The sequence below is a fragment of the Homo sapiens genome, chromosome 7, assembly GCF_000001405.40.
Source record: "Homo sapiens chromosome 7, GRCh38.p14 Primary Assembly".
In the NCBI taxonomy this organism is placed as follows: domain Eukaryota; kingdom Metazoa; phylum Chordata; class Mammalia; order Primates; family Hominidae; genus Homo; species Homo sapiens.
Genome location: NC_000007.14, coordinates 137,952,928 through 137,965,940, shown reverse-complemented (window position 1 = coordinate 137,965,940; position 13,013 = coordinate 137,952,928). Strand labels below are relative to the sequence as shown.

Here is a 13,013-nt window from a genome sequence, read left to right as displayed (position 1 = left end):
AGATGCACCCATTGTGTTTTAATAAACTCTCCAGGTGATTGTGATACACCCTCAGGTTTAAGCATTCCTGCCCTAGAGGAGGAGGCTAGATTCAGTAGGTGTTTCTCCCAGTTGCCCATTTTGACATAAATAATAGCACTTTGTTTTGCTCCTCCTCAGGCATAGAATCCCATAGTTTTAAGTGGAGTGGGATTTTGAGTGGACGTTACCCTGGTCAACTCTCTTTACCGTAGAAGAGAGAGCTTTGCAGATAGTTGCAGTGTTTGGCTGGAGAACCTAGGGCTTTCTATGTCCTTGCTTATAACATGGGCTGTGTCACTTCCTTGAAACTTTAATCAGTGCTTCCTGAGACCAGGGTTCTTTGTAAAATAACTTAAGGAAGTATTCCAGAAGAACCAATAGCATTGGTCTACTCACCTGTGTGTTCTATTAACATTTTAATATTAACAATATTCTGATATTTCAGATGTAGATTGCAAAGCCTCACAATCAAGGGGCTTTTGTCATTGATTCGATTTAATTATCCTAAGGGAAAAAATGGAATGCTTAAACTAGCAAAAGTTCACGTTTCTGTCTTTTTGGCCATGTTTTCCTCAACGAGTGTAAATATATTTGTGCGCATGTGTGTTGATACTGCGTGTTGGAAAGACAGAAGGAGACAGACTAAATTTCTGTTTATAGAAAAATCGTAAGTAATCTGAGGAAGCAGTAATTACTGGAGTTGGCAACAGTTTGAGCACTATCCTGTCCCTTGATCTAACTCTGGCTTTAGAGATAGTTGAATTTAGAATGTTACCTTATGGGCAGTTTCTTTATCTATTTTGTTTCCCCGGTTGGACAATCTCTGTAGTAGAACTAGAGTTTGGTCACTACTTGTATTAGTCTGTTCTTACGCTGCTGATAAAGACATACCTGAGTCTGGGTAATTTATAAAGAAAAAGAGGTTTCATGGACTCACAATTCCACGTGGTTGGCGGAAGGCAAAAGGCACGTCTTACGTGGTGGCAGACGAGATAATTGAGAGCCAAGCAAAAGAGGTTTCCCCTTATAAAACCATCAGATCTCATGAGATGTATTCACTACCATGAGAACAGTATGGGTGAAACCGCCTCCATCATTCAATTATCTCCTTCCAGGTCCCTCCCACAACATGTGGGAATTATGGGAGCTCAATTCAAGGTGAGATTTGGGTGGGAACAAAGCCAAACCATATCACTACTGGATTATGACTCTCTATAATTTGAAAAGAATGGTAGAATTTAAAGAATTTGAAAGCAGTCCGTTTGTTTTCAATATTGGATTGTTCAATATTGATTACCTTGCATATCATGCTTGTTCCCTCCCCATCTTTGTGGGAGTGCAGGAGGCACAAAGAAAGCCTTTAACTGAATGATCTGGTTTTTCTAGATGGCTTAACATTTTTGTATTTGATGGGTCAATAGCCTTGGGTGCTTTAGTCTAGATGCTGAGTGCTCAAAAGGCTAAACACGGAGGAAAACATTCCCCTGTCGAAACACATGATTGATTTGGTAGTGACAAGTGTTTTGGGAGCCAGAGACATGCTAGTGGGTTAAGCAAGGGTTTGTTTGTTTGTTTGTTTGTTTTGCTTTGTTTTGTTTGTTTTGAGAGGAAGTCTCGCTCGTGTCCCCTAGGCTGGAGTGCGATGACATGATCTTGGCTCATTGCAACCTCCATCTCCTGGGTTCAAGTGATTCTCCTGCCTCAGCCTCCCAAGTAGCTGGGATTGCAGGTGCCTGCCACCACGCCTGGCTAATTTTTGTATTTTTAGTAGAGACAGGGTTTCACCATGTTGGCCAGGCTGGTCTACGAACTCCTGACCTCAGGTGATCCGCCCGCCACGACCTCCCAAAGTGCTGGGATTACAGGCGTGAGCCACCGCGCCTGGCCGCAAGTGTTTCTTTAACATGGCCATCTTAAAAGGGATAAAGGATCTTCTAGGAATTTATTTCAGCTGAAAACAGATTGTGATACATTCTTACTTTGGTGTTGTCATCATTTGTTCATTTCTATTTTTTCTTTCTTTCTTCAACAGATATGTCAAATACTATCCTAACATTGAACAAAATAAGTTGTTTAAAAAAAAACACCAAAATAAAAAAGGCAATAACTATTTTTAAACTTATAAAAACAAATCAAGTTTGGCTTGACATAATTATCCCTGGACATAATTATCCCTGCTTCGGCAATTTAGGGAAGAGGATTTCAAGATTTCAAAAGATCCTGGGGGAAAATTAGGTAAGCTCCATGGCCAGAGACTCTAATATAAATACAGTTCGTGAAGGAGGAAGTTAGAAAAACATTTAAATTTAATCCAGTAAAAATGAACAATAAAAACAAAGATGGGAGGGGTGGATCATGATACCAGAGAGTGACTAGAGACATTTTGCTCAGAATTTAAAATAATGTATCCAGAAGCTAGAAAGATTGATGTTTACCTTAGGATAAATACAAAATGGCGTGAATTAGAAATCAGTTTAAGGACTAACAAAGTCAAGTACGAGGTGCCTGAAAACTAGAAAGAAGTGAATACCGTACTGGTTTTTGAAAAGGGAAAAGCTTGACATTAATACCTGGAAAACTGGTGGAGCTGGTTATTAAAGAGATCCTTTGTGAATAGGAAGAAAGCAGTGCTGACTAAGTGGGAACAGGGACTTGCTAAGAGGTCCTGAAGAGCAGGTAAATTCTGGCTTAGAGCCTCCGGAGAGGGGGATCTTTAAATGAGCTCTGTTTGCTCAGCCTTTTTATCAGCATATCTGAGGATGACATAGACCATAACCCTTATCTAGACTTTCCAGGCGTTGCAGGCTTGGGATCCAGAAGGAACGTGAAGGAGGGGGGCTGGTTGAGTGAGATGAAGAAGGAGGGAGACATCTTCATGAAGATCCAAGGGCCCCAAAGCTGAGAGGGACTGCTGGGATGTCAGATGTCAGATCAGTATCCAAAATCACCTTGCTGTTTAGGAAAGCTGGATATGCAGACCAGTGAATGCAGAGAGAAAGCAAAGAGGTTTGTGTGTGCTGGGGGATGAGTGCGAGGATGGAAGGGAGTGGGAATTCATTTATTGATATATACATACAGAGCACTGCACCCACTTTGTGCCAGGTACTGTGTTCTGGGTGCTGTTGTAGCAGTGAATCAAGTAGACAAACGTTCGGCCCCCATGGAACTCATGTGTAGTGCAGGAGATCGGAAGCAAACATACATGTAATTTCTTAGGGGGCGATTCATGTTATGGAGAACAATAAACCACGATGGGGTAAGAGAATGCTGGTGGGGGGTGGGAGGCTCTGACTGGCTTACACAGGGTGGTGGGGAGTCCTGCCTGATGTTGTGATATTTGAGTCTGGGGGCAGTGAAGGTGCAATCAGCCCAGATGGCTGGCAAAAGTGGTTCCCCAGGGTGTATGCTGGAGCTGGGAGAGGCAAGTGTGCCTGTAGCAGAGATCCCTCAGGGAAGGGGAAGGAGGATGGTGCGGGAAGAAGCTCAAGGTGAGAAGGCAGAGAAAGGGGGCCTAGAAACCCTTTGTTCATCCTGATGAGATTCAGGATTTGAGTAGAGGAGGGACAAGATCTGGGAATACACACTCAGGATCCTTCTTGATGACAGCCTTCCAATGCTTTAAGGGAACAGTTCCAAAGTCAGAGCCATGGCCATCTAGTGAAAGGTACCAAGAGACAGCTTTTAGTTCAGTGTATGGCAGCTTTAGAATTCAAGTCGCCCAAGCAATGGTCTGTGCTGCTTCATGAGTTTAGTGTCCCTGGATTTGCGCTTAAAAACCACCAGGGTCCATTTCAACGTGAACATTCAGTGAGTCTTCCCCCTTGTTCTACAAGTGTTTCCTGACATTGGTCCTGACTTCGGTGGGGTCGCAGATGGGGAAGAGCAGAGCAGGCGCGTGGAGGTGCAGGGGATGCTAGGAGAGGAAGTGGAGGCTGGGTTCATGGAGACACAGGGGAGCAGTGTGAGTTCCTAGAAGAACTTCCTAGAAGTTCCCATGGTTCAGAAAAGTGAGGGGGCCTGCCACGGAGAGACTGAGCATTGGGCATGAAGAGGGCATGGGTCATGAGATCATGGAGGAAAGGCCTGGGGTAGGCTAGAGATCTTTCAAGAAGCAGCAAAGGATGAATGGAAGAATTGCCAAGGGCAGAGCTTAGAGCGGAGTGACCAAGGTGACCATCAGAGTCTTGTGAGGTGTGCCCCCCGGGTGGGAAAAGGAAAGCTTTTGTTTCCTAGGGACCACAGGTACCTGAGAGAAAGATAGAGGACTGTCTGGCATAGAAATGGGGAGGGGAGGACAAGAGATGCCACAGGGGAGGGACCCCCAAAATGACAGGAAGAGTTGAGGCCTAGAGGTTGGATCCACAGAAGACGCATTCTGTCTGTATCCTGTGATGGCAAAGGTGGGATAAAGGGCCTCTGCCTGAGAGGCTGAAGTAGGAGAAAGCCTGAGATTCTTCCAGGTTTGGGTTGCCTGGGTGTGGGGAGCAACAACTGACTCAAGGAGAGAAAGCCTGACTCAGCCTGTGCTTTGACTGTGCAGGGGGAGGGCCCCCATGATGTTCCTTCCCCAATTTCAATTCAGAGACATACGTACTTTCCTCCAAACTGCCACTTAATTATATGCTGGCTTGACTGCAAGGACACTGAGCAAATTCATTTACATTGAGAAAATTGAGGACAAATGAAAAATTTTAATGTTCTCATGTCCCCCACCCCCCACCCCCCAGTTTATAATTTGGAGGAAGGAAGTAAATTTAATGCAGAATATAAACATTTAACAATGTAGGCTTCTTCCTAAAATAATAGATTGGTTTTTTAAGCCCACATTTCTTTCTGAGTGAAAGAAATAATTCTTGGGAGGCCAAGGTGGCTGGATCGCCTGAGGTCAGGAGTTTGAGACCAGCCTGGCCAACATAGTGAAACCCCGTCTCTGCTAAAATTAGCCGGGTGTGGTGGCACACACCTCTAATCTCAGCTACTCGGGAGGCTGAGGTAGGAGAATCACTTGAACCTGGGAGGTGGAGGTTGCAGTGAGCTGAGATCGTGCCATTGCACTCCAGCCTGGGCAACAAGAGTGAAACTCTGTCTCAAAAAAAAAAAAAAAAAAAAAGAAATAATTTAGTTTTAAGTTTAAAATAATTGGTAAATAAGATTATGTTTATTTGTTAATTTAAATGAAATAAAACACGTGCTTCTGTAGTAGTTGTACTATGGCAAAACTGTTCAAAATATGCACAGTTAATTAATTGAATTTCAGATGGTTCCCCTGTGGATGTCTTTCCAGGTATGTGCTTTAGAGCCAGAGGTAATTGATCCAATGTTGTCTTTTATTAGATACTTCCAGGCTAATATCCCACTGACCCTAACTGTTATATATTCCTGATTCTCTCTCTAAGCCTTGGAAAGGCTTTGGACAAAATCACTAATATTCTCTTTTGACGGAATTTGAGTTTTCACAATTACTTCTTTCTTTTATTTTCTCTCTCCCCACCCCCCTGTGTGTGTGTGCATGTGTGTATGTATAAACACACACATATGTATTTATTCTGCATTTACTTATAGTCACTGTATTTTAAGCTTGCATTCTTATGGAAAGTCTATGTTACGAACTTAGCACTTACTCCTCAGAGGCAGTGTTAGATAATGGAAAATTCATGAGCTATGTAACCAGACAGATGGTGGTTTAAATTCTAGCTCCAGCACATGCAAACCACATGTTCTTGGCAAGTTACTTAACCTCTCTGAGCCTTGGTTTACTGCCCTATAAAATGGGTCTAATTATTACTTATCTAATGGGTTGGTTATGATAATTCACTATATAATGAGAATTATATATTTTTTACTAGATGTTAAAAGCACCTAGTAAAGTGCCTCCATTAGTGGAAGCTACTGCTGCTTCTGTTTTTGCTAGAGGAGTACAATGGAGACATGAAGCCATGAGAATTCTAAAAACTAGGGAATGGGAACATGGAAAGTAGACCTCTGAAAAATAAAGGGAAGAGAGTGAAAGTGAAAAGTTACTGAGGTAAATAAGTATTTTATCACTCAACTTTCTGTTGTACTGGTGAACCAGTAATTACATTACCTTACATTTTCTAAATATTGCACGTACTTTCCTCGCCGGATGGCAAAGGATGCAGTTTACTTCGGATAATTTAATTCGGTTATTATACTTTGATTCTCATCATGCTTTCTTTTACCCTGGTTTGTAGAATGTTTGAGAAATCATTGATTGGGCTCCCTGTCTTCACAGAGTTGAATGTCTTTTCAACATATGGTCATGTCTTCTCTCCCAAAACGTTTTTGGGAATGGTGTTTAAGGTTTTGCTACATAACAAATCACCATACAACTTAGTGGCTTAAAACCACCATCATTTATTTAGCCTGCAATTCTGTGAACCAGCAATTTGGACTGGGCTCAGATGGACTTTTCTTCTGCTGGTTTCAGCTGGGTTCACCTATGAGTCTGTGCTCAGGTGCTGGTCAGCCAGCTCTGCTTCTAGGGAATGGGTGGCGATCAGCTGGGGTGATAGAGAAAGGGAATGGTGGGGAATATGGACCTTGGGGGTCACTCATTACCCAGAGACTAGTCCTGTCTTGTTCAGATGGCAGCTGAAGGTTCCAGGAGGGAGACTGGAAGTGCCAAAGACTCTTGGGGCCCAGTTTCAGAACTTGGACAGTTATACTTTACTTCATTGTGTTGGCCAAAGCAACTCGAAATGCCATTGCAGAATCAAAGAGCAGAGAAATAGACATCACCTCTTCATGGGAGGACCTGCCAAGCATTGAGGCCATTTTCACAATCCTCCTTAGGTGGGGACTCTACAGTCCTCATTAACAAGTCAATTCTGGTCTCTTGGAGTCAATAGGTTCCTTCTCAGACATGAGACAGACATACACACATACTGTAGTAACTTCTGCTTTAATGTTAGTCTCTTTAAAAATGACTCGGCATTTTGAAGACTGAAAAGAATTACTTAAGTTTTTACATCCCTTGTGTTGCAGACAGATCTCAAGTGTGTGAAGTGTTGGCGCCAGAGGATTGATCCTGACTGCACTGGACCTTCCTTGGATTTAATCCTGACCAGATCCACTCACCTGTGTCTAAGCAGTGGTCAGGCAGAATGAGGAAGTGTTAGCTGGTGACCTCACTAGAGGCTCTTCAGGTGGCCCTGGATCAAGAGCAGCTTATTTGTTGTCTTTGATGCAGAAAGTGAGACATGGGAGAAAGGGCCTGCCCTTAACTCACTGGATTTCTTAAAACATTTAAACATTGCATTGTACCAAATGCCAAGCAGATAAGTGAGTTCCTCAAATACAGCTTTTTAAAACTCTTATCACTCATCAGATATCTCAAGCTGTTTGGCTTGTTTGAAGCAGCCAAGGATTTCTTTTCTTTCTTTCTTTCTTTTTTTTTGAACAGGCAGGGTCTCCACTATGTTGCCCAGTCTGGTCTCAAACTCCTGAGCTCAAGCGATCCTCCTGCCCTGGCCTCCCAGAGTGTTGGGATTATAGGTGTGAACCACTGTGCCTGGCCAAAGGTTTATTTTCTGATCATTTTGAGGGAAAATAAATTCCAATATTTCTCCCAAGACAGTAGACTTAGGATCTCAGTGGTTTGTCTCCAAGTCGCAAACTTAAGGGGTTCTTTTTTTACATGAATTTTACCTGAGTTCTAACTTGTGTTGGGCCATCAAGTTTGTTACGCATAGCCTTGGGCTTGTGTGCCTTGGGTAGTGTGAACTGTTCAAATTGACTTCTGGCCTGTAAACTCTACTCTCTTCCCACTGAGGACTGACCCCAGGGAATTGCATGAGTCAGGGAGCTGCCTGTTTCCCTTGGTGACCATGGAAATTAGGAACAGTGATGACCTGGATTTAGGGGAAAACTAGAAAGTGACTGATTCAGTTGAACAGCTCCTGGGACTTCAGTGGGCCAGGCCTAGGACGGAACACGCCAGACACAATGTTCCTGCCTTCTGGGAGGAGGTCCTAGATTGTAGCCATTATTCCCTTGGGACCAAACAGTCTTCCACCCTGTGATACAGCAAAAATTAGTAGGAATGCATCTGAAGTGTTTTTGCTTATTGATGAATTAATACCTTAGCAGAGGAAAGAGATAAATGTCATTGCATTTACCACTCTTCTTGTACAGCCAGTCTTCTTTCTTACAGGTGCGTTCTTTGAAGAAAACTTGTGAAGCCTGTAAATTGAGTGGAAGGAGTAGGAATTATTTGGGTTATTAATATATTCTTCACTTTCTAAAAATGAAGAAAAAATATCCATCTTCTCAAGTTTAAGAGTTCTTTACTAGTTGAGGGGCTGGGCCTAGTTGTTGAGTTTGGAGTTACTGTATTTTTTTCTGATGCGAAGTAGTCTGGGCCCAGTGGAGATTCTAGGGTGAAGGAGGACTTGGGGTTGTATAATTAGGCACCCCTGTGGACAGTCAGGATGCTGTACAGACGGTGGGGAAAGGAATGAGGTTGTGATGTTAATGGATTTCTCAAGTGTTTATTTGCCTTCTGTTATGTCTAGGCATTGTAGATTCCTGTAGTCACATCTTTGAAGAGAGAGAAATAGGTTTAAAAAAAATGCAGAAAGTAAGTGGTAAATGTGTTAAGAGAAGGAAATGTGTGAGTCCTTGAGTGCACTTTGGGTGCCTAGTGACATGATTTCCTGGGTGAGTGGAAAAAGGCTAGATTGTGGAAGTAGCAGTTTTCCAGGTGGAGAAGGGAGGGAAGTGGAATTCCAGGCTGTAGGAACCTGTGTTCAAGATGGGGAGGAGTGATGAGCGCTGTGTTCAGGGAACTCCACGTCATCATTACATCTGACTAGACCAGAGTGGGAACCCAGTGGAGTGGAGAGGCCGAAGAAGAAAAGACAAAACATTTTATGAGTTTTAATGTACACTGGGGGGTGGGGGGCATTGGATTAAATCCACACACACTGCTTTTCTAAAAGGCCTCTGTTTGACAAAAGGAAATGCTGTTCAGCTCTAAAAGTAGCTCTTCACTACTGGGTTAATTGAATTTGCCTACTTTCCTGTAAGTGACAAATCCCTTTTTCTAGAAAAAGGTGAACAGATTCACCTAGCTCTGTGCGGAATGTTGTTTCACCTGTCTGAATGGTCTAACTCTTTTAGGTGGGGCCTTATGCTGTATGCTAGCAATCGCAAATGTTTGCCCAACTCAAAGAATTCAGAACCTGGATTGTGAAATTCAAGTTAAAGTAAAATAACTATCATTGTTAAATTGTGCTGTTTCAATATGGCTTACCTGGGCTGCTGGCTTCTCGAGAAATATTCGGCATGGCTGTCCGTGTGAAGGATTGCCAGGACCTGAAAGATGGAAGGTAGAGAGTGCAATGGCAGTTTGAAAGCAGCTCAGGTGGGCTTAGGAGCTTTTGTGAATAAGAGAGAGCTCAGATTTGATTTAGAAGAAATTGACTTCAAATTAATTCTATTACTGGAAACTTGCACTGGGGAGGAAACCCGGGTATTACTGTCCACTGCTAACACTGCGAAACGATTTTCTTCTGGCAAGAGTGGTAGTTGGAATTTAAACCAGACACTGACCTGAGATGCTCTCTAAAGTAAATTGACTAAACACTTATTTGAAAATGCTCTATAATGAAAATGTTCAATTAGATTGAAATTGTATTCTACTCCTTATAGCTTATTCGTCTCACTCGGTTTGTGCTTTTTAATTTTATTTCCACTTGTAAGTGGGAAACAACTGTTTATAAATAATTAGAAGGCCTTTGGGTCTTCTCTGATTCAAAGTCTTACATTCCTGAGGCAAACTGATGGTTCTGTCTTGCCACCAAATACCTGGTGCCTAGTAACACAAGTGGCAGCAAAATCTGAGACCTGAAATTAAGTGCCTTAGCTAGTGTTTTAAACATCAAAGTATGAGTGATTTCAAGTGATTGAAAGGTACCCACTGAGAGAAATTTTACTTGCAGCAAGGAAGACTAGGACTTGAATGTGTCCAGTGACTGTCCCCATACATCCTGGGGTAAGTTATTTAACCCCTTTATGCCTTAGGTTGTAATTTTTTGAATTTTTGCATGAATGAAACATCAGACCTTGGCGATGACCTTGAGCAGTAGGATATAAATAACTCCCGCATGCTTAGTGTTCCAGTAATGGAACACGAGGCATATTAATCTTTCCGAGCTTCAGTTTCTGCCTTTATAAAAAGGAGAGGATGGTGCTCAGATCTGCCTCTTTGAGGTGGGTTTTAGTTTTATTGGTAATATTTCAGTTCTTTTTCAAAAATTTGAGGCCAAGATTGCAGATTTACATTTGAAAAGTCGAGGTGGTGGATTTCAGGGGTGCCTGTTAAATTATTTTCTGAGTTATGTTTGTTTCAGATTATCTTCCAATTAGAACAATAATTGAATCACAAATTAGAAGTGAAAATGCCAAGTGCCCTCACACATATTTCTAGACTCCATGAGTATTTCTGAACCGGACGTGTAAGTTTGGCGTGTGGGGATTAAGGGGAGAGGAGTGAGGTGGCCGTGCTGAAGAACTAATCATAAGACTGCCATCTTCGCCCTCCCCCATCCTGTGGTGCTTACCAAACCAGGATGCGACCAGCTTCAATCCACCAGGGCTTTGCTGCTTGCTCCTTAGAGAAACTGTCTGTGAACACGTGCTTTTTCTATACCTGTTGGATGGATTCTTACTGTACTCATTGAAGATGGAAATGGGCAAGGATTTCAGGGGGTTTCTAATGATGAAGTAGTAGCGTATCTGTAACCACTTATAAAAAGGTCAGCCTGGTGAGAATTAGGGGTCAAGAGAGTGATTGGTTTATCATGGTCATTCATTATTTACTTTTAAATGTAGGTTAACGTGGTGGGAGAATGGTGTCTCTACCAGTGGCTCTGTCCAGGGAACTTTAGAGTTTTATGTTAAATAAGAACCCAGACTCTGGCAGTTACAGGACCTGGTTTCTTGGGTCTGGGTTCTCAGTCACTGGGAGTCTTGAGTGACTAATTACACTTGTGCTTAGGCAACGTTTGTAGTCTTCTTTCTATTCCTTTGTAGGTTGGGCAGTTGTTCCGACTTCTGTGGGACTGAGAGATATCCCAGGATGTGGAACTTTACAACCAGAAAAGTCTGAGGCAACTGGGGCAGCTGGTCTTCCTACTTTCTAGCCTCCATGCCTTCCTCTTCTCCTCTTACCTCCTCTCTCATGGCCAGACAATACCATGAGCATTCCAAACTCTTTAGGCTGCTGTTACAGATAAACTTTACATGTGGTGGACCTGGGGAGTTTGGCAACACAAAGTTATTCATTTTAAAAAATAGGAGTGCTCCTAGGGTAGTTTGGACGCAAGCATAAGCTGCCTTTATAGAGCTTAAATGTGTGCTGCCTGCAGTGCTCCTGATGATTTCTTTGTGGTTCTTTCCTTTTTGCTAAAAGTTTTCTGAAAATAGAAAGCCGTGGCCATTATAGTTAGAACAGGGAGCAAACAGGAACCTCTGAGAGGATCCCTAGCCCCCTGCCCCCTGCCTGGGTCCACCCCTACTTCTGGGTAGCTATCTGCTGTCACCACCTGCAAGAGCAAGAGTATTTGTAAGCTGTGGATTATGTCCCTAGGATTACTAGTCTTTCTTTTTCAGGAAAAATAATACACAATTCAAGCCAAATGTAAACAAGCACTAAGATCCTACACTTTTGTTCTCGGTGATCATTAAATGCTGTGGGTCATTTCACAATTTCAGTTGTCATTTTAGTTATCCCTCATGCGTAGACAGGACAGGTACAACCTGTATCTCAAGGTCAAAGGGCAGGACTCTACTTATGTTTGTGGAACTTCAGAATACCAGACAGAAACCCATGCAGAGAGGTAGCCTCTCAAGATTTTGATCTTGTCTCCTCCGTGAAGAATGACATGAAGAATTTCTCTTTCCCTGTGATTCATCAGGAGAGTGCTGTTTATTCTTCCAGGTTTACAGCTCACACACCCCTGCTGCTTTTCCCTCCTGGAGAGGTTACAGGACCTTGTGATCTTACTGGGCTGTGTGAAAAACCCATGATGATGCCTTTCCCTTCTGCAGATCTTTGTTTGACCGTCTGTTTTAAGTGCCCCTTTTTCTCTTGGTTATCTAGCTGCCAGCTGTTTACAAACTAGTTTGCATCAAGCGGTTGCCTAGAAACCATCATGAAAACAGGATTAGGCAAAGCATTTTTTCTATATTACAGCTGCTTTCTGATGAAGGCTTGGCATTAGAAAGAGCTCAGTGTCTACCCCTTCCCAGCCTTAAAACACAATGCAAGTGAAACAAGGACTTTCCAACAGAGATGAAATGATTTCTCTAGAGTCACATTCTGAGACCGTCATCACCCACCCAACTCTCCCCTCCTCTGCAAACCCGCATACCTTTCCCTTTCAGGAGAGTCGTGTGTTGGGGATGGTTGACGCTTTTTAAAGAACATTTAACATACACCAACAGCAGGTCTCAGATACTGTTATTTATCCATCTATTCCTCAGGCCTCAGCTAGACTGGAGTGGGTGCAGAGAAGTTAGAAGGCTCTGGCAGTAATTTGGTCATAAGGAAGGAATGTGTTATGTGGAGTAGCAGTTAATCAACTAAGCGGTAAGCAGGTTTTCAGTGAAACACCACCGGGAGCTAATCCCACTTAACATAAACTACAGTGACTTAGAGGGAACAAACTGTCTAACCCTGAGCTCTCTTGTTTCCCAGGAAATAAATCAGGATGAAGTCAAGAGACATCAAGGAGTTTACATTAAAAGGTCTTACTAAGTGATTGAAATATTCTTAAACTGGCTGGGCACAGCGGCTCATGCCTTTCATCCCAATACTTTGGGAGGCCGAGGCAGGCAGATCACTTGAGGTCAGGAGTTCGAGACCAGCCTGGCCAACATGGTGAAACCCTGTCTCTACGAAAAATACAAAAATTATCCAGGCGTGGTGGCAGGCGCCTGTAATCCAGCTACGTTAGAGGCTGAGGCAG

The 13,013-nt window shown here is 42.9% G+C and overlaps 1 protein-coding gene and 1 long non-coding RNA gene across 3 annotated transcripts in view; one reads left to right on the top strand and one right to left on the bottom strand.

Moving 5' to 3' along the window:
- Positions 1–13,013, top strand: part of CREB3L2 (cAMP responsive element binding protein 3 like 2) — a 127,108-nt gene that overhangs the window by 36,146 nt on the left and 77,949 nt on the right. The window lies entirely within an intron of this gene.
- Positions 7,975–12,593, bottom strand: CREB3L2-AS1 (CREB3L2 antisense RNA 1). Its single transcript, NR_161346.1, has 4 exons — positions 12,417–12,593; positions 10,605–10,693; positions 9,296–9,357; positions 7,975–8,223 (listed from the first exon to the last, which is right to left on the bottom strand). It is a non-coding gene; the product is annotated as a CREB3L2 antisense RNA 1 (long non-coding RNA).